Source organism: Homo sapiens, chromosome 16 (genome assembly GCF_000001405.40).
Source record: "Homo sapiens chromosome 16, GRCh38.p14 Primary Assembly".
Classification (NCBI taxonomy): Eukaryota; Metazoa; Chordata; class Mammalia; order Primates; family Hominidae; genus Homo; species Homo sapiens.
In genome coordinates this window covers 85,271,435-85,289,300 of record NC_000016.10, presented here as the reverse complement: position 1 = coordinate 85,289,300, position 17,866 = coordinate 85,271,435, and the positions used below count along the sequence as shown (strand labels likewise).

General features: G+C 55.3%; 1 protein-coding gene, 1 long non-coding RNA gene and 1 pseudogene across 5 annotated transcripts in view, besides 5 other annotated features; 1 reads left to right on the top strand and 2 right to left on the bottom strand.

Moving 5' to 3' along the window:
- GSE1 (Gse1 coiled-coil protein) overlaps window positions 1-17,866 on the bottom strand; it is a 506,689-nt gene that overhangs the window by 386,900 nt on the left and 101,923 nt on the right. The gene's annotated exons all lie outside the window — the stretch shown is intronic.
- LINC00311 (long intergenic non-protein coding RNA 311) lies at window positions 1,219-6,343 on the bottom strand. The gene is made up of 3 exons (NR_038859.1): window positions 5,744-6,343; window positions 3,338-4,303; window positions 1,219-1,439 (listed from the first exon to the last, which is right to left on the bottom strand). It is a non-coding gene; the product is annotated as a long intergenic non-protein coding RNA 311 (long non-coding RNA).
- Window positions 10,197-10,681, top strand: COX6CP16 (cytochrome c oxidase subunit 6C pseudogene 16; annotated as a pseudogene).
- Window positions 11,141-12,113: an enhancer, noted in NCBI's record as "H3K27ac-H3K4me1 hESC enhancer chr16:85310794-85311766 (GRCh37/hg19 assembly coordinates)". NCBI's record gives its function as "activates a minimal SCP1, AML or CMV promoter by ChIP-STARR-seq in primed H9 embryonic stem cells {active_cell/tissue: H9 hESC(primed)}" and the evidence as "EXISTENCE:reporter gene assay evidence [ECO:0000049][PMID:30033119]".
- Window positions 12,114-13,087: an enhancer, noted in NCBI's record as "H3K27ac-H3K4me1 hESC enhancer chr16:85309820-85310793 (GRCh37/hg19 assembly coordinates)". NCBI's record gives its function as "activates a minimal SCP1, AML or CMV promoter by ChIP-STARR-seq in naive H9 embryonic stem cells {active_cell/tissue: H9 hESC(naive)}" and the evidence as "EXISTENCE:reporter gene assay evidence [ECO:0000049][PMID:30033119]".
- Window positions 13,088-14,060: an enhancer, noted in NCBI's record as "H3K4me1 hESC enhancer chr16:85308847-85309819 (GRCh37/hg19 assembly coordinates)". NCBI's record gives its function as "activates a minimal SCP1, AML or CMV promoter by ChIP-STARR-seq in naive H9 embryonic stem cells {active_cell/tissue: H9 hESC(naive)}" and the evidence as "EXISTENCE:reporter gene assay evidence [ECO:0000049][PMID:30033119]".
- Window positions 13,333-13,382: an enhancer, noted in NCBI's record as "active region_11268". NCBI's record gives its function as "activates an Ori minimal core promoter by ATAC-STARR-seq in GM12878 lymphoblastoid cells {active_cell/tissue: GM12878}" and the evidence as "EXISTENCE:reporter gene assay evidence [ECO:0000049][PMID:35858748]".
- Window positions 16,726-17,722: an enhancer, noted in NCBI's record as "H3K4me1 hESC enhancer chr16:85305185-85306181 (GRCh37/hg19 assembly coordinates)". NCBI's record gives its function as "activates a minimal SCP1, AML or CMV promoter by ChIP-STARR-seq in primed H9 embryonic stem cells {active_cell/tissue: H9 hESC(primed)}" and the evidence as "EXISTENCE:reporter gene assay evidence [ECO:0000049][PMID:30033119]".

Sequence of the window (17,866 nt, the reverse complement as noted above, 5' to 3'; positions counted from 1 at the left end):
GCCTGGGAAAAAACCCCAGCATTGGAGGGGAGGCCAATGGCGGGAGGATGAACTCACAAGAGCCTCTGGGACTGCAGGGAGGACTCCAGGGACCCTCCCATGTAGCAGGTCATGCCTGTTTGTATATGAGCTTTGCAAGCAGAAGGGGTCAAGGTGACACCCTGCCGGAAACTCAGGGCTGTGCCAAAGATTATTTGAAGATAAAATGAACCTTGAGCCCAGGATCTGATCATTCAGAGGTAGGTGGTGAGAGCTGCTGCCCCACAGACCTGGCAGGTGGAGGTGAGGAAGGTGGCCGAGGCTCAGGAGAGCCTGACACCATTGTTTTCTCGCTGACCTCCCCTCCCTGCAGTGTCCTAGTGCTAGGCACACCATTTCTCAGGCCCATAGAGCCCAGGCTGGGCCTCCTGTCTCAGTTGGCAAAGAGGGGACTGAATTTTACCCCCACTCCCTCTCTCTCAGGGTGGGTGCCTCCTGCAGATGCTGACAGCTCCACCCTCCCCACCTCCAAGATTTGCTGGGGCTGAAATGCCCCCCACCCCCAGATTCCAATGACCCAGCACAAATGCCGCCTCTCCCAGGAAGCCTGCCTGGACCCCATGTGAGTTTTGCTTCTTCCTCTATGCACCCCAGCCCCCAGGACAGAATAGACTGCATCCTGACCTCTGCTGTCCTCAGTGGCAGGGGTGTCTCCCCACAGAAGGGAGGCTCCTTCAGATCAGAGGCTTCTTTGAAACTTTTCTGACCCCAGCTGGGCATGGCACTGCCACACACAGCGGGCTCTCAACAGGTTGTCACATTCCACCTCCCCAGTGCCCCCATGGGTCAGCCCAGGCTAAGAGGCAGCTCTGCTTCCAATTAACTGCACCGCCCTGGGCAGGTGGCTTCTATGCCCTGGGTCTCTTTGCCCATCTGCCCAGGTTGGCTGTATTGTCCTACGAGTTCCTCCAGCTCTGGCACCCCAGAGTGACTTCAGGGTCAGTGCCTCTCTAATTATTTTTTAAATGTCAAAGTGCGTAGGGGGGCTGAGAGTACTTATTTCTTTTCTTTTCTTTTTTTTTGGGTCAGATTCTTGCTCTGTCACCCAGGCTGGAGTGCAATGGCGTGATCTCAGCTCACTGCAACCTCCGCCTCCCGGGGTCAAACGACTCTCCTGCCTCAGCCTCCCGAGTAGCTGGGATTACAGGTGCACGCCACCACATCAAGCTAATTTTTATATTTTTAGTAGAGATAAGGTTTCATCATGTTGGCCAGGCTGGTCTCGAACTCCTAACCTCAGGTGATCCGCCTACCTCGGCCTCCCGAAGTGCTGGGATTACAGGCGTGAGCCACCGTGCCCGGCCAATAGCGCTTATTTCATGATGATCTCCATTTCTTCCTTCCACAAATACTTCCGTGCCTACTGTGCGCAGGCATTATTCTGAGTCCTAGGGATGCCGCTGTGAACAAAACAGACCAGCCATGGAGCTCCTGCGGCTCCTTTAGGCTTCAGCAGGGGTGAGGGCAGGAGACAAGAGGTACAAGGTCAGTAAGTAACTCACCAGCCAGTGCTGGTAACACATGCCAAGGAGGAAAATGGCATCGGGGGGTGTGGTCAGGACTGTCAAGTCTGGGGCTGGAGTTTTAGAAAGGGTGGTCAGGAAAGACCCCACAGAGAAAGTGACCAATATGGAAAGGCCGAAGGAAGCGAGGGAGGAGCCGTGTGGAAATCAGGAGGAAAGCATTCCAGGCAGAGGGGGCAGCGGGTACAAAGGCCCTGAGGCAGCGGCGTGGCTGGTGCAATCAAGGAACAGCAAGAAGGCCAGCAGGGGCAGAACAGAGCGGGTGCGTGGAGGAGATGAAGCCAGAGGCGGGGGTGTGGGTGGATCATTACTGCCTTGTCAGTCACCGTAGGGACATGCACGGCTGTTTCACTTTGAGGTCTCCCATGAGGTCCCACAAAACCCTGGGGTGGCTGGTGCAGGGGGATGGGCAGGCAGCAAGTCCCCCACTCCCCAGCTTGCTCCGGCCCCATGCGTCAGCCCGAAAGGCCACCCTGGGAGCTCAGGCCTCCAAGCCCCACCAAGTGGTGCACGTCTTGCACAGTTTCCAGGAGCCAGATCTGACAGAGCCATCTGTCTCAAACAGACCCCGGCACTCGCCTCCAGCTGGCCTCGTGCATGAGCCAGAGTTCTCAGTGACACCGCAGAACACTCATCTGCCGCCGCCAGCTCAGTCCCCGTCCCCGGAGACAGGCAGGGAGGCCAGAGGCGCTGGAGAAACAAGAGTCCAGCTGTGGCGGGCGGCACCCGGGGCGGGCAGAGTGACCCGCTGGAGCCCGCGGCCCCCGACGCTTTCCAGGGTGGAAGCACATTTTGCAAAGGCTTCTCTTCCACCAGAGCTGCTTCCGACCCGGCCCTAGCCCACGGAGCCCATACTATGGGACAACGAAAAAAACTGCGTTTTCTCACTATTTTGTTTTTAATCCCTACACAGGGAAGAAAACATCCCACTCGCTGATCATACGAACTCGTCTGACTTTAAACTTCCCAAGTGATACCAGAGCAGATGTTCAAACAGCCCCCAAATCTTTCATCTTTCAAAAAAAAAAAAAAAATCCCAACCCAGTCTGAAGCTGTTGGGCAATTGGACTAATAGATGCGTAAACCGCAGCGCCAAATAATTTCTGGCAAGCCCAAGAGCTGCCCACGATGACTGTTGCAGCTCCGACCGGCCCACTCTTAATTTATTTTCACAGTCCCCAGTCCTCCGGGCCAGCCGCACTACAATAACCTATTGTTAACATGGAAGTCTCCCCATGTGGGAACGGACATTTGGAAGACCATCCTTTGAACGGACACCAGGCTCACCAAGTCCTTGATTCAGTAACACGGACTGCGGCAGCAATTTGAGGGGAGATGAGGCACCAGCCGGGCACAAAGACACAGACACCCCCTTTTTATTTGTCACAGCTGAGTTGTCATACATTCCCTCGAATAAATGTTCCCATCTGGAATGAGTCACTTGGCAAGGACACGGAGAGCCTCTGCCAGCCCGTGGGCCGACCCGCCTGAACCCCGTATTGGAAAATATCAAGTGGCCACTGTGTCCTCCTCCCGCTAACATGCTCGGAGCACGGGGCCCTTTGCTGGCACTTGTTCATCACCGCCCAGTCTGCTGACCTCCTGGCTGGGCAAGAGGCACACATGCGCCCTGGGCTGTAAACTCAGCAGCTCGGGACCGGGGAGGGGCTGCAGGCCAGATGAGGGGACATCCCGCCCTGTGCCAGGCCCAGACACCAGCCCCTCCATCTTTTCTGGGGGACCGCCCAGTGCCCAAGATAGTGGGCCTCACTCACCCCCACAGCCTGATGCCCACAGTTGCTTTGGCTTGTCTGCCAGGGCACGCCACGAAGTCCTGTTTTCCCACGTGGTTCCTTGTGATGTTCAGACAAATGGCATCAAAGCCACAAGCTCTGGGAGGCGGAAGGTGTTTTGGATTAAGCATTCTCAGCCTTTACTGTGGACAGGGATCACAGATGTGGGGTTTGTTAACATGCAGGTCCTGATTCTAGGTCTGGGGCAGGGCCCGAGACTCTTAATTTCTTTCTTTCTTTCTTTCTTTTTTTTTTTTTTTTTTGAGACAGAGTTTCGCTCTTGTCGCCCAGGCTGGAGTGCAGTGGCACGATCTCAGCTCACTGCAACCTGCACCTTCTGGGTTCAAGTGATTCTCCTGCCTCAGCCTCCCACGTAGCTGGGATTACAGGCACCCATCACCACGCCTGGCTAATTTTTGTATTTTTAGTAGAAACGGGGTTTCATCATGTTGGCCAGGCTGGTCTCAAACTCCTGACCTCAGATGATCCACCCACCTCAGCCTCCCAAAGTGCTAGGATTACAAACATGAGCCACCATGCTTGGCTGTGCTTTCTTACAAGCTCGGGGTTAAGGAGGTAACCCTGCTGCTGGTGTACAGACCCCACTTTGAGTAGTGAAGGGCTGGTCCAAATCCCCACCCATACAGAATCAGCTACATCGACAAGCACACACTCTCGTGAGTTTAACCAAATGGACTGTTTGGGGCAGGAAGAACCCCAGAAATGACATTGGGTTCCCCTTGGCGCTTCATGTCACAGGCACACCGTGTCACCCTGGAGATGGCAACATGGATCACTCAGTGTAAGTGACATCTGCCAGGCTTCACCTGGCCATTGTCCCCTTTGAAATTAGTAAGTATCTCATGGAGAGATACTTTGAAACGATGCAAATCGCCGTTCTTCATCACACTTTTGCTCGCTGATGTCAGCATCCGTTGATGGTTTTGCCTGAAACGATGACCACAGTGCTATTTGTAAGCGGCGATTTTCTATTTCCATTGTCCCCTCTAGGTTTATTAATTTTTAAGTTCAAATTCTGGTCTGTGATTACAGACCTACTCTAATACCAAAAAAGAACCCAGACACCCTTGAGCTGACATCTCAGCAATACCTGTCACTGACTGCCAGGACGGCAGCGGAGCAGGCAGCTTCCTCAGCTGAAGGTGAGCTGTGTGTGCCAGCCCCGCCCGCACCTGACAGCCTTCCCCTTAGTATTCCATGAGCCACCATTTTCCCCACGATCCCTCCAGCCTGAACGATCACATCCTACTGTGGACCACGACTCTCCCAGCAGCGGGCGTTTAATATCCAGTTAGCAGGTTCTCACCACCCCCTCGCTGGCTCGAATACAGCATCTGCACCGAGTTCCCGAGAATCGTCAACCCAGCAAATCCCTTAATTGGTGGACATGAAAATCCAGGGCTTTGTGCTGTAATAACAGAGTCCTGGGGGCCTGGGGAGTTTGTGCCGCTTGGAGCTCAGGTTTCTGGGACAGAGGCTGAGCGCAGGGCAGGGAGGCAGGTCTCACCTGGCACCTCCCAGAGTCCTCGCCGAGCAGATGGAAGCAGAGGCTCTCGCGCCCGGCCCCCGCCGGGAGACCTCTCTCTCTTTCCCTCGGCCTGCTCTGCCCTCTCCCGCCTTCTCCCTGTCTGATCCTTCTCTGCTGTCATGTTCTTTGTCCTCGCGCCACATGCTGTGATTACACGCCAAGAGTCGCCCTACAGCGACAGCTAAAGCACGACCCGCCGGGCAGATTCTCAATTCTCCCGGCCTCCCGACCCGCCGGGCCTTCTCCTGGGCCGGGGGCATCTTGAAAGCTGAACAACTGGCCTCTGAAGGCTGGCAGGCAGCTGTCCTCACGCATGCCACAGCCACGGGCATGCATTTAATTGCTGGGAGGGACTGTGGAGGCCATGCAGCCTGCCTCCCTCCCCGCCCCCATCTTACTCACAAGAGGAAACTGAGGCCCAGAAAGGCAAAGAGATGGGCCTGAGGACATGTGGGCAGGAGGGAGACGTGGTGGAGCGGATAAAAGCATGGATGCTGGAGCCAGACGGCCTGAGATTAAAGCCCAGCTCCAGCATTTCCTAGCTGTGCAGCCTCAGCTTTTCTGGGCCTCAGTTTCCTCATCCATAAAATGGGTATAATAATGGTCTCTACCCCTTAGGGGCTGTTTGAGGGCTGAATGAGCTAATACACTTATGAAGCACTGAGAACAGGCCCAGCAGAATCAACAGCCATAAATACTGTTTTACCCCACGTTCAATTCAGCGCCCTTCCTTGGGCTGTGGCTGGACAAGGTTGCAGCGTGCATCAAACCCCGCCTGCTGGGGTCCACAGCCCATCCCAGGGAGAGCACTGAGGACGCCACCAGCCCAGCCCACTCGCCGGCAGCTGCAGGACGATAGCCTGGGTCCCTCTGGGGCCTTCGCCAACTACTCTGCCTGAGTTAGGCCATGCCTCAGGGCCTGCGGCTCTCACGAGCCCATTCGCTCCAGAACAAGGTGCGTGTGCAGCCCCAAAGTCCAAAAAGGGGATCCAGCTGCAAGCCAAGCAGAGCCAAGATGCTCAGGGCGCAGGGGGTTGGCACCCACTCTCCGGAGAGCCCGAGTGAGCAAGCCACAGGGGCCCCGTGGGGCGTTTTCAGTCTCTGCCAGTCCAGCATTTGGTTAGGACGCAGCGAGGACACGGGAGGCACAAGGGCAGCGGAGAAGAGGGCAGGAACCTGTGTGGCCGGGCCCAATGGCAGAGGCATGGCTAGTACCTCCCAGGTTGGGCCATCCAAGGGGTTCCAGCCTCTACCCTGGTCAGCAGCCACCATATCATGAGGTCATCCAAGCAGCCTTGTGCAGAGGCCCACTTTGGAGACAGGAAACCATGCGCCTACCGTGGGAGGGAGCCGCCTCTGAAGCAGAGCCTTGGAAGCAGATCCCCCTGCCCGACCCCAGGCCAGCCTGCAGGTGACTCCAGCCCCAGCTGATGTCCAACTCCAACTCCGAGAGAAACCCCAAGGCAGAAGTGCCTGGTGGCGCCACCCCTGGAATCCTGACCCACAGAAACTGTAAAAGATCATCAGTGATGACTGTGGTTGTAAGCCACAAGGTTTGGGAGTGATTCGTTATGCAGCACTAGATAATTAATACAACACAGAATTATGCAAATTTGTCAAGAGACAAGACTTCAAGGCAGGTGATAACATTGAATCTCGACTAAAATCCTGGTATAGCAAAAGCACAAAATTATGGACAGAAATAAAGGAAATCATAATTCATAAAAATCCTCCAAGGAAAAACAAGAGCCTCTGAGTGTCCCCAGCTTTTAACGAGCAGCTCCTGATCCTCCGGGGGCTCTGTGACCTCGTCACCAAACAGTCCAGGATGCCTGAACGTTTCCCCGATCCTGTGCGACTCTGACTTTCTGAGACTGGAATTTCCAGCCCTCACCGGGTTCGGTAAATGCCCTGGGTCCCCAAAACACACATGAGAACTCTGAACCGGGCTTTCAGCAAAAAACAACTTTCAGAAACCTGGAGGAGAAAAAAGCTTTGAAGTCAGTCTACCCCAGTGAGAGGCAGGTCGGTGGCAAATTGATCTAAAGCAGTCATGAAAACACAGCAACCCAGCCGGGCGCGGTGGCTCACGCCTGTAATCCCAGCACTTTGGGAGACCGAGGCGGCTGGATCACGAGGTCAAGAGATCCAGACCCTCCTGGCCAACATGGTGAAACCCCGTCTCTACTGAAAATACAAACATTAACTGGGCATGGTGGTGCACGCCTGTAGTCCCAGCTACTCGAGAGGCTGAGGCAGGAGAATCACTTGAACCCAGGAGGCAGAGGTTGCAGTGGGCTGAAATCGTGCCACTGCACTACAGCCTGGGTGACAGAGTGAGCCTCTGTCTCAAAAAAAAAAAAAAGAAAAGAAAACATAGCAACTCACAGGATAACCCCGGCTGTGGCACCCGGCACCATCTGTGCCATCTAAGACCCTACACAGGGCTCTGCATGTGGGTGGCAAACCTGGGGACTGTGAGGTTTCTGGCAAAATAATGCTGGCATGCTGTGGTGGGCGTGTCCTGCTCAGATAACGTGAATCTATTCCGCTTTGCTTCCAGAGCTCCTGAAATCAAGAGTGGCAATGATAAGCTTGGAAGCAACACTAACCCCGTGCACATGCTCTCCATCCTCCCACCCCATCACTGGACACCACCTATAACCTGAAGTGGGCTGACACCCTGAAAACCACGTCCATGCACCTTGGTTTTGCCCACGGTGACCAGGTAGGAGGGAACTTGAGTTTTACATTCTTCTAGGGTTTTCTCTTTCTGGAGCATTGCATATCGTTTTTAGAGGAAAATAACAAAAATGGAATCCTTGAAAGTCACTGGGGCCTCTTAGCCCCAACTAATTAAGAGGCAGGTTAGACGGCGCTCCGATGCAAGGTAACTTCTCATCTGGCATTTAAGACACTCACCCCATCCCTGTGGGCCTCGGTTTAGCCACCTACAGAGGGGATATGAGTAATAATTATCTCCTTTGGAGAGCTGCTGTGAGGGTTAATTAACTCGTGCCTGGAACTGCTTGGAGCTGCTGGTGGCCGGGGTTTGGAGGGTGTGAACGTCACCATCCAGAGTGCTGTTCTCAGAGGAGCCGTCACCTGCCTGCTGTCAAGAGGGCCTCTTGTGTCCCCAGCTAATTGGGACCTGGGACAAGCCACAGGGCTTCTGCAGGCCTCGGATGTCCTCCCCAGTAAAGGTTCAGAACTGACAGCCTGGAAGATCATGTCCAGCTCTAAGGCTTTGTGGAGGTGATGCTGAGAGAGGCCGTTTGCATCGTGGGTTCATTTGCTTCTTGACAATTTTGGGTCCCTGCTGAAGTGACTTTAGAGCAGGGAGAGCCGTTCATCTCAAACTTCCCCGCAACCCATCAGAGACATGGGGCGGCAGAGGCAGCTCTGACCGGCCCAGGCACTGGAGCAAACCCAGATGGGAAGACCTGGGCAGGCAACGCCAGGACCTGGTTCCAATTCAGCCCGAGGACCCACGGGACCCTCTCCTTGTCACCGCCGATGTTCTCTGCTTCTCCTTGCACTGGCTTTCTAAGAAATCAGACACAGTAACACAAGACAGAGTCCTCAGAGGGTTTGAAAAATGGAGAGACACTGACACAGCTGCAAGGAGGCAAAGGTGACATTTTGTAAAGAATGACGGCAGGGATGGTGTGGGGGCAATCCCCAAATTAAAGAGACCATGTGGCCGGGTGCTGTGGCTCACGCCTGTAATCCCAGCACTTTGGGAGGCTGAGGTGGGCGGATCACTTGAGGTCAGAAGTTCGAGAGCGGCCTGGCCAACATGGCAAAATCCCGTCTCTACTAAAGACACAAAAATTGGCCAGGTATGGTGGCGGGCGCCTGTAGTCCCAGCTACTCGAGAGGCTGAGGCAGGAGAATCGCTTAAACCCAGGAGGTGGAGGTTGCACTGAGCCGAGACTGCACCACTACACTCCAGCCTGGGCAACAGAGAGAGACTCTGCCTCAGTAAATAAATAAATAAATAAATAGACCATATGACCCAGTGGGACAGCCCAGGAGTGGTGCATTCCACGGGTGGAATCTGAGAGCTTGGGTGCTGGATGGGGCCTTGGCCAGAGAAGCCTCACCCTGGACTGGTAGAGGCCTTACTCAAGGTCACCTGGCCAATGGAAAGCAGGGGCCGGGTGTACTTTTCCCAAAACCTCCGACTCCTGGGCCAGGGCCTTCCTACCATCTTAAGCACCGCCTGCTGGGAAGCTGGGTCTCCAAGGGCCAGTTCCATCTGCTCCGAAACAGCATGCACTCTGGAGAGAGTGCTGCAGACCTTCCGAGCGCTGGGCGTGTTGCCAACAGAACTGCAGCCCTCAGCAACCTTTGGGTGAAAGGAGAACTTTCTGGAACCTCAGCAAGGCTCAATTTCCCCCTCAGCTCTGTGTGTGGGGAGAACTGAGTAATTTCACTGATAAACCCTGGAGTCACCGCTCACACTTAATGAGCTGCCATCTCCCCGGCTAATGACGCCGCCGGAGTTTGCTCTGAGATGGCGTTCCTTCCACCGGGAAATGGGCGGCTCTTGAAACACAGATCCTCACTCAGGCAGGGGAGGGACAGACAGTCCTGAGAATTCAAGTGAAGACAGAGAAGTTGGAGTTGAGAAAACACCGCCTCCCATAATGACACAAGGCTTACGGGCTCAGGTGCTCAGGAGGCCCCATGGAGCAGGCCGGGCAGCACCATTTCACAGGGAGGAAACTGAGCTCTGACCCACAGAGCTACATCACTGTTTGATTGATTGATTGATTGACTGACTGATTGATTGATTGAAACAGGGTCTTGCTCTGCCACCCAGGCTGGAGTGCAGTGGTGCGATCTTGACTCACTGCAACCTCCACCTCCTGGGCTCAAGTGATCCCCCCTTGAGTGGCTGGGAACACAGGCACACATCACCATGCCTGGCTAATTTTTGTACTTTTTGTAGAGACAGGGTCTTGCTATAATGCCCAGACTGGTCTCAGACTCCTGGGCTCAAGTGATCCGCTGCCTTGGCCTCCCAGAGTACTGGGATTACAGGCATGAGCCACCACACACAGCCCCATGGCACTACCTTAAATGAGCTTGTAGCGGGCTTGCATGGTAGAAGGTATTTCAGGACTGAGAATAGAACCCGTAGAGTACACAGGAAAATACGCTTTCTCCCTGGGGCCTTGGCCTGAAGCATCCTCCTCCCCCCTCCCCACTATTTTATCGCCCTGTAGCCCTGAAAGTTACCACATCGTTATTTTATGTCGTTTGCATTTTTAAAAAATCTGGGCATTTCTCCATCAGCTGGGAAGGACACTGGTGTTGAGGTTGATGTCCCTATCAAGGACGATAACCGCCAAAGCTTCCAGTGCTTTGACAAAACCTCAGATGCGTGGCCTTCTGGCCAACGTCTGCAATTTCCCGTACTGAGCATTCACTGTCTCTCTGGGGGCTGCAGCTCTCTGTAAGTCTGCTGTGGCTGAACCAAGAAAGAGTCATTCGCAGATTTCTACAGCAATTAGGATTCCGTGAAGGATTTTGAGGAGATGAGGAAGGCTGGTATCTTTCAGAGTGCAAGGTGATTTTGGAATATAGATAATCTTCTTGGGTTGACCTAAAAGTTTGTCGCTGACCTATGTTCCTGAACTATGAAACATGAATATGTGAGTTAAGAAATAGTTTCTCTTGAGAAATAAACAACTGGCAAATACTTTGGACAGGAAGGTCTCTGCTAAATTATTCTTACTGATAATTCAAGACACTTACTTGTATCAGAATTGGTTTGGGATTTTTAACTGTGCTTATGAAGACTATGAGGCTAACAGAAAAATATCTGGGGTAAAAATATACCCCTGAAAAATCTGGGGTAAACAAACAAAACCAAAAACAAACCTTGTGAATTCAGGATCATAGAGTCTGACCAGGCTCAAATGATTTTTTTAAAACCTGTATTATTAAATACAGTGTCTTCTTTCTCAAAAACCTAATGAAAAACAGGCAAACACAGACAAAAACAGAGAAGCAAAGCACTGCTCAGTAAGGGTGCTCAGAGCACCCTGCTTCAGGCATGTGTGGAGAGGGACCTCCAGGGCTCCCGCCAGTGTGGCCTCACTACTCAGGAGCAAGAAGAGAGGGTCTCAGGTCACACTCTGCAAAGGGCCTGGGTCAGAGGACAGCACCCCCGCCCCCTGACGCTGCAGGAGGGTGAGTCCAGGGGGGCCTCACCAGCTTGAATTCAGACCCCGGACTTCAGCCAGGGACATGGACCCCTCTCCTCCATCTTCTCATCTGTAAAACGGGGCCATGCCCGTGACCTTCCTCGCGGGACAGCTGTGAGGTTCAAATGGACGATACGGTTGGGACACATGCCGCCAATATTGTGACTGCTCTCAATGGAGTCGTGAAGCCTGCTTTCCCACCCATTCCCCTCTGTGCGCACCCATGGGCTCTAGGGACCCGCTGACCCCAGCAGGAAGGAGCCCCGAGGTGGAGGCCAGGAGGAATCCACAGGCCAGTCCCAGGCAGAGGCCCAGCAGCAGCTGGTGTCCTGGGGCCGGCCTGGGGTCTGCCACAGGCATGGATGGCACAGAGGCTGAGGGCTGGCCCAGACACAGCTCGAAGGCAGGGGCAACGGAGAAGCAGGCCTCAGCTGTTGGAAATGGACATAAAGCAAAGAGGAGATGCTTTGTAGGGGTGAGGAGTCCCCAGCAGACCACCACATACCCACCGCTTCCAGGCTGCCCAGCTGCAGCCCAGGGGCTCTTCCAGGTGGGGTGGAAGTTGGGCTGGATGAGGCACCTGTGGGTAGGCGGGAGGGCTTCAGAGTGATGCCCTGACCCAGCATCACAGGCAACACCGGAGTTTTTTAGAAATCCGGAATCCCAGGCCTGGCCCCAGGTGACTCGCATACACATCTGAGCAGTACAGGCTTGCCCTGTGCCCACCAGCCGCCCAAGGGACAGGCCCCACCAGACCGGCAGCTCAGCCTCTTCCGCCTTTCAGGGGTGGGTTCTGGCACTGACAGACCCTGGAACCCCATTCTCTCCTTCAGGGCTCCTGTGGAGGGCTCCAAGGCACCCCAACTCTCACATGCAAAAAAAATGACCCAGCCTGGGCCCGTCTGGAGGCACTGGCCAGAACCCCAGAAGGAAATCTCCTTCCCTCCTTGGGCAGGCCTTACAGTGCCCCACCCCCACCGCCACCTCACCTGCCCAGTCTCGCCTCTATTTCTCCCCACTCCACAGGCTGGCCGTGGGGTCTCAGGGGCCTCTGATGGGCCAGGTGTCCCCTACACCCCTCCCCCAGCTCCTTCCCCAGATTCAATCCATTCTGGAGCAGCTGTTAGGGACTTTGAAGATGCCATCCGATCCTCTCATCCTGCAACCTGAAACCCTCAGGGTCCCCCTGCTCTCAGAACAAAGCCCCCAGGCCTGGCCCGGCTGCACGGTCCCCTCCTGCCCACCCACGCTGCCCAGCACCTTCTCCAGAGCCCGGCCTTGGGGGTTCTCTAACTTGACCGTGCACAGGAGTCTGAGGACACCTGCTTTTCAGAGCCCTGGTGGGAAGCTCCTGAGTCAGGGGGCCTGGGTGGGGCCGAGAGCACATCTCTAAGGAGTTCTGGGTGACATCCTGCTGCTGGGCCACGAGCGAGGTCCCACCCCACACACCTCCCCGGCCCCTGCCCTGGCCCACGCTGAGAGCAGCGTGGTGGGTCCATCCTGTCTCCCGCCACCGAAGCATCCTCCACGCCCTTCCCGGCCACTTGCCTCTACTAGCCCCTCATGGTCATCACGGGGAGGTCACCCCGAACCCGGGCCCTTTCTGGATTAAACATCCTTAATATTGCTCCCTGAGGCCCTGCCTTGGCTGAACCTGCTCAGTGACTTAGGAGCCGATTCCATTCATTTCATTCACCCAATATACACTGGGGCAGCAGGCAGTGTACACAGGCGGTGCTCAGAAAACCGCTGGGTGAACAAATCGCTGACCTGGCCAAGCTGTAAGCCAGACTTCCTGGTCCAGTGCGTACCAGCTCTGAGGCTCCTGGGGCACACCTTCCTGAAGTCCTCCTACCTCAGTTTCCCCTTCTGCAGCAGTACCCGTTGTAACAAGCGGGGAGATTCAAGTCAGGTGCTCAAACAGTTCAGAAAGCAATGCTCAGCATGGGCTGGCAGCCACCAGGAGGGTCTTCCAGCTGCGCCGCAAGGCGGAAACAACAGGCCTGGCCTGCTGCTCCCAGCTGTGTGACCTTAGGCAAGTCACTCAACCTCTCTGGGCTTCAGTTTCCCCATCTGTAAAGTGGGGAGGCAAACCCCAAGGAAATCTACCAGGACCATCTTTTCTGTGGCACTGTGCTAGCACAGGACTCAACTGCTTATCAGTCCCTGTTTGCCCATCGCTGGGAGGGGGACCCTGAGGCCAAGGACATAGAAAGCACCCCCTCTGACTTTGCCTATAGCTCTGCAGCATGAGGCATTCCACCCACCTGTGCAGAAGTGAACGGGGCCAGAGAGCAGAGACCGCCAACAGGCAGGGAGGGCTTCCTCCATCACCAGCCCTCCTCCCAGCCAAGCCCTTCCCTTCCCAGGCCGAGGGCGCCATCTGCTGGGGACATGGGGCTCAGCGCCCCGGTTCATCCCTTCGCTTGGTTTCCACCTGGGTCCAGGGCCCCACGCGGAGGGCTGCAGCTTTACAGGCCCCTATTCAGTCCCTGGGGTCCCCTCACCCTGACTGCCTCCCCACGTCTAGGACCGACCTCTGGAAATCAACTTTGACCCCAAGGACCCTGGGGGTGGCCCAGAGAGGATGCCACAGGGAAAGTATGAAATGCTGGGTGCTAGCTCCGGAATCTTCTCTTTTCACTGGTGCCATTTGAACTCGGTGGCTTGTCGAGTGAGACAGGTCTGAGACTCGCACCGAGGTACTTCTGGATGCAAAGTCCAGGCCCTTCCTCCAAGGTGCTCCTTGCTGGTGCCAAGGGAGTGAGCCCTCAGCACCCCTGGCTCATGCTCTCCCGACAGAGCCTTCGCCCCTCGGTGCCCTCTGCCCGGGCTTCTGTCCCCTGCCTGCCCTCTGCCCAGCTTTTCTGTCCTGTCCTTCCTTCGGTGTGGAGGAACGGGGGCTATTGGAGCCCTGGCTGGCTGTCCTAGCAGGGAGCTGTTCTGTCTCCTCCAGTTCGGAGGCCTCTGTGGTTTGGGAGTTAAGACTTCAGGCCACGTGGTCCAGGGAGACTTTTCCCTTGTCTGGGGGTGGGGCCCGCACAGGCCCAGGTCTGTGTCTGCGGATCGGCTGATGCTCCATGTCATGCTCCCTGGCCAGCCACAGCAGAACAGCATATGGCCCCTCACACCTGACAGACTCCTGGCTCTAGGCACCAGCCACCAAGGAGCTCTAATAAGGAACGCTTTGAGCCTCAAGGCTGCTGATGGAGAAACTGCAGAAAATGCCTGGTCTCACTCCAAGAACAGCAGGAGGGGCCGGAACTGGAACAGGGGCAGTGAGGGCCAGGCCCCACATGCATCTGCAGGGTCCAGGACTGAGCTTTCTGCAGGTGACCTGCTGCTGGAGGCAGGTGCCAGTGTGAGCTTTCTGCAGGTGACCTGCTGCTGGGGGCAGGTGCCAGTGGCTGGACGTGCAGGCTGGAAGCAGCCTCAGTGGTCAGCCTGGACCAGCGCTCTGGGTTTGGTTCCTCCCACTGGCGAGAGGGGGACAGGCACCTAAGCCCTGTTAGCACTGCTAACACTAAGCTGCCCATCCCACGTGGGAGGCTGGGGATCCCTACAACCGCCAGGTCCCCTGCCCACAGAGGCCTCGACGGCTGCCCATTCATGGCCCTCTTCACACTCCTGAGGCCATTCCTAAACCTGACAGGTAGCAAAGTGCACAGCCACTGGGATGCCTGAGCCAGGTTTTAGGAGAGCCACCAAAGCCATCTGGCCGAGTGCTCGATAAATACATCAATACACTCTTTCCCTCTTTTATTTATTTTATTTTATTTATTTATGTATTTATTTTTGAGATGGAGTTTCTCGTCACCCAGGCTGGAGTGCAGTGGCGTGATCTCAGCTCACTGCAACCTCCGCCTCCCAGGTTCAAGCGATTCTCCTGCCTCAGCCTCCCGAGTAGCTGGGATTACAGGGGTGGCTGCTGCCACGCCCAGCTGATTGTATATTTTTAGTAGAGATGGGGTTTCATCATGTTGGTCAGGCTGGTCTCGAACTCCTAACCTCGTGATCCAGCCGCTTCAGCCTCCCGAAGTGCTGGGATTACAGGAGTGAGCCTCCGTGCCCAGCCTACAATTGCCCATTTTCAAGTGTACAATTCAGTGGCATTCCCAATGTTGTGCAGCCACTACCTCTATCTACTTCCAGAACTTTTTCATCACCCCAAAAAGAGACCCTGGATGGGTGTGGTGGCTCACACCTGTAATCCCAGCACTTTGGGAGGCCGAGGTGGGTGGATCACCTGAGGTCAGGAGTTCGAGACCAGCCTGGCCAACATGGTGAAACCCCATCTCTACTAAAAAAAAAAAAATACAAAATTAGCCGAGTGTCGTGGCAGGTACCTGTAATCCCAGCTACTTGGGAGTCTGAGGCAGGAGAATCACTTGAACCCAGGAGGCAGAGGTTGCAGTGAGCCGAGATCGCACCACTGCACTCCAGACTGGGCGACAAGGGCTAAACTCCATCTCAAAAAAAACCAAAAAGGAGACCCCATGCCCATGAGCAGTCACTCCTCTTCTTCCTCCTCCCAGCCCCTGGCAGCACCAGTCTGCTTTCCGACCCTATGGACTGGCCTGTTCTGGGCATCCCATACGAATGGACTCATACACTGTGGCCTCTGCAGACTGGCTTCTGTCACTCAGCGTCACGTTTTCATGGTTGATCCATGCTGCACCATGGATCTGCACTTCACTCCTTTTTATGGCTGAGTAATATTCCACGGCATGGAGAGGCCACATGTTGTTTCTCCATTATCAGTTGACAGACACATGAGGTGTTTCCACCTTTTGGCTGCTATGCATAATGCTGTTATGAACATCTGGGCACACGTTCCCTTAACTTGTCCTAAGGTCAGATTGACTGGGGACGCTTAATTATATACAGTAAAATCTACTCTTCCTAAGTGGATGTTGCGCTGACTCAATGGCCTAGCATCACTGTTTTCAATCTTCCCCCACCCCCAACCCTAGTGATGGGGACACCAGGGCCCGGAGAGGCCAAGTAGTTGGCCTGGGGTCCCCCACCTGTAGGCTCCCATTCCGTCAACTCCCAGCCAGTCACGGCTTCAATTCTTCCCTGAGAACAAGTAGGGCCCCCATGGGCTGGGCACAGTGGCTCACGCCTGTAATCCCAGCACTGTGGGAGGCCGAGGCGGGCAGATCACCTGAGGTCGGGAGTTTGAGGCCAGCCTGATAAACATGGAGAAATCCTGTCTCTACTAAAAATACAAAGTTAGCCGGGCATAATAGTGCATGCCTGTAATCCCAGCTACTCGGGAGGCTGTGGCAGGAGAATTACTTGAACCTGGGAGACAGAGGTTGCAGTGAGCAGAGATCATGTCATTGCACTCCAGCCTGGGCAACAAGAGTGAAACTCCGTCAAAAAAAAAAAAAAAAAAGAAAAGAGAAGAAAACAAGCAAGCAAGCAAGCAAGCAAACAAGCAAGAAGTAGGGCCCCCTTGCAAGGACAGCTTCAGGTTCTCTTTTCTCCTGTGGGTCCCCTCACCAAGCCCCCAGCACTGCCAGGGGCTGTCCACAGTCAGCCCAGGCTCCCCGCACACCCGTGGCTTCTCCAGAAAGGGCCAGCTCTGAGCACGGCTCCACCCCTCCCACTGCCTGGGCCTGAGGGACCCCAGGCACCATCCCACAGACATTCAGAAGGTTTAGGAGAATGCCACCTATGGCCGAAGGGTGACATGTAGAAAGATCTCACCAAAACCAGACCGTTTTCCAGGAAAATAGAAACTGTCAGCATTCACCCAATAAGTAGAAACAAAACCAGATCTCGAATCAGGGCAGAAACAGAAGAAAGTTGCCCAAAGAATCACTCCAGGGATGGCAAAGGCCCCGACACCTCTGCGGGCCTGAGGCTCCTTCAGACATGGAAAAACGGATCGTCCCACGCGCATAGCCCTTGCAGAGCACGGCCAAAGACAGGGGCCCCTATCCGCTCCACGCTAGGAAGTGTGCAGCCCAAACTCAGACATCCAAAGCGGAGCCTGTTAGAAAAGGGAGCCTAGGCTTCCTCGGGCCTGCGTGTGCACCCAGCTAATGGCGGCCGCATGGTGACGATGATGGGAACGCAGGATACGGGTCTGGGGCCATCTGCCCTCAGGCTGGCGGCACCATGCCCTGTAGTGCACAGGAGGCAGCCTCCACCAGAGGGAAGGGGTGACACAGTGGTTTGGAAGGGGAACCCTTGCAGAAAGGCGTCCTGCAGACGCTGGCCTGGCCACGTAGCCCCCGAAGGCACTCCTGAGGTGCCCTGACCCCAGCCCTGGGGTCTCCGGCTGCTACCCTTAGAACAGGGTGCATCTTAACCAGAATGTGACCCATTGCTTCACCAAGAAACCATCACAGCCCGACTGGAGCTCCCCCATCCCATCTCTCCCTCCAGGCGGCACTGCTCTCCCCACTTCCCCTCTGTCACAGGCTCCCAAGACAGGGTGAAAAGTGGCAGAGGTGGTGGGTCATGGCACCTGATCACAGGCCCCTGGTGTCTCTGAGCCTATGTCCAGCTTTAAGCTCCTGTACATACGGCCCTGACTGCCTCTGACTCTCAGTACACGCTGCGAAGCAGCAGGAAAGCCAGCGTGGGCTGCAAAGGCCTCACCAGTGCTATCACTCCCGCACTTTGGCAGATGATTCGGGCTTTGGGGATGCCTCTCCTTTCACCCCCAAAAGTCCTACTGCTGACTCCAAGAACCACATTCATACTTCCCCACCAGTTCCCAAGCCCTGA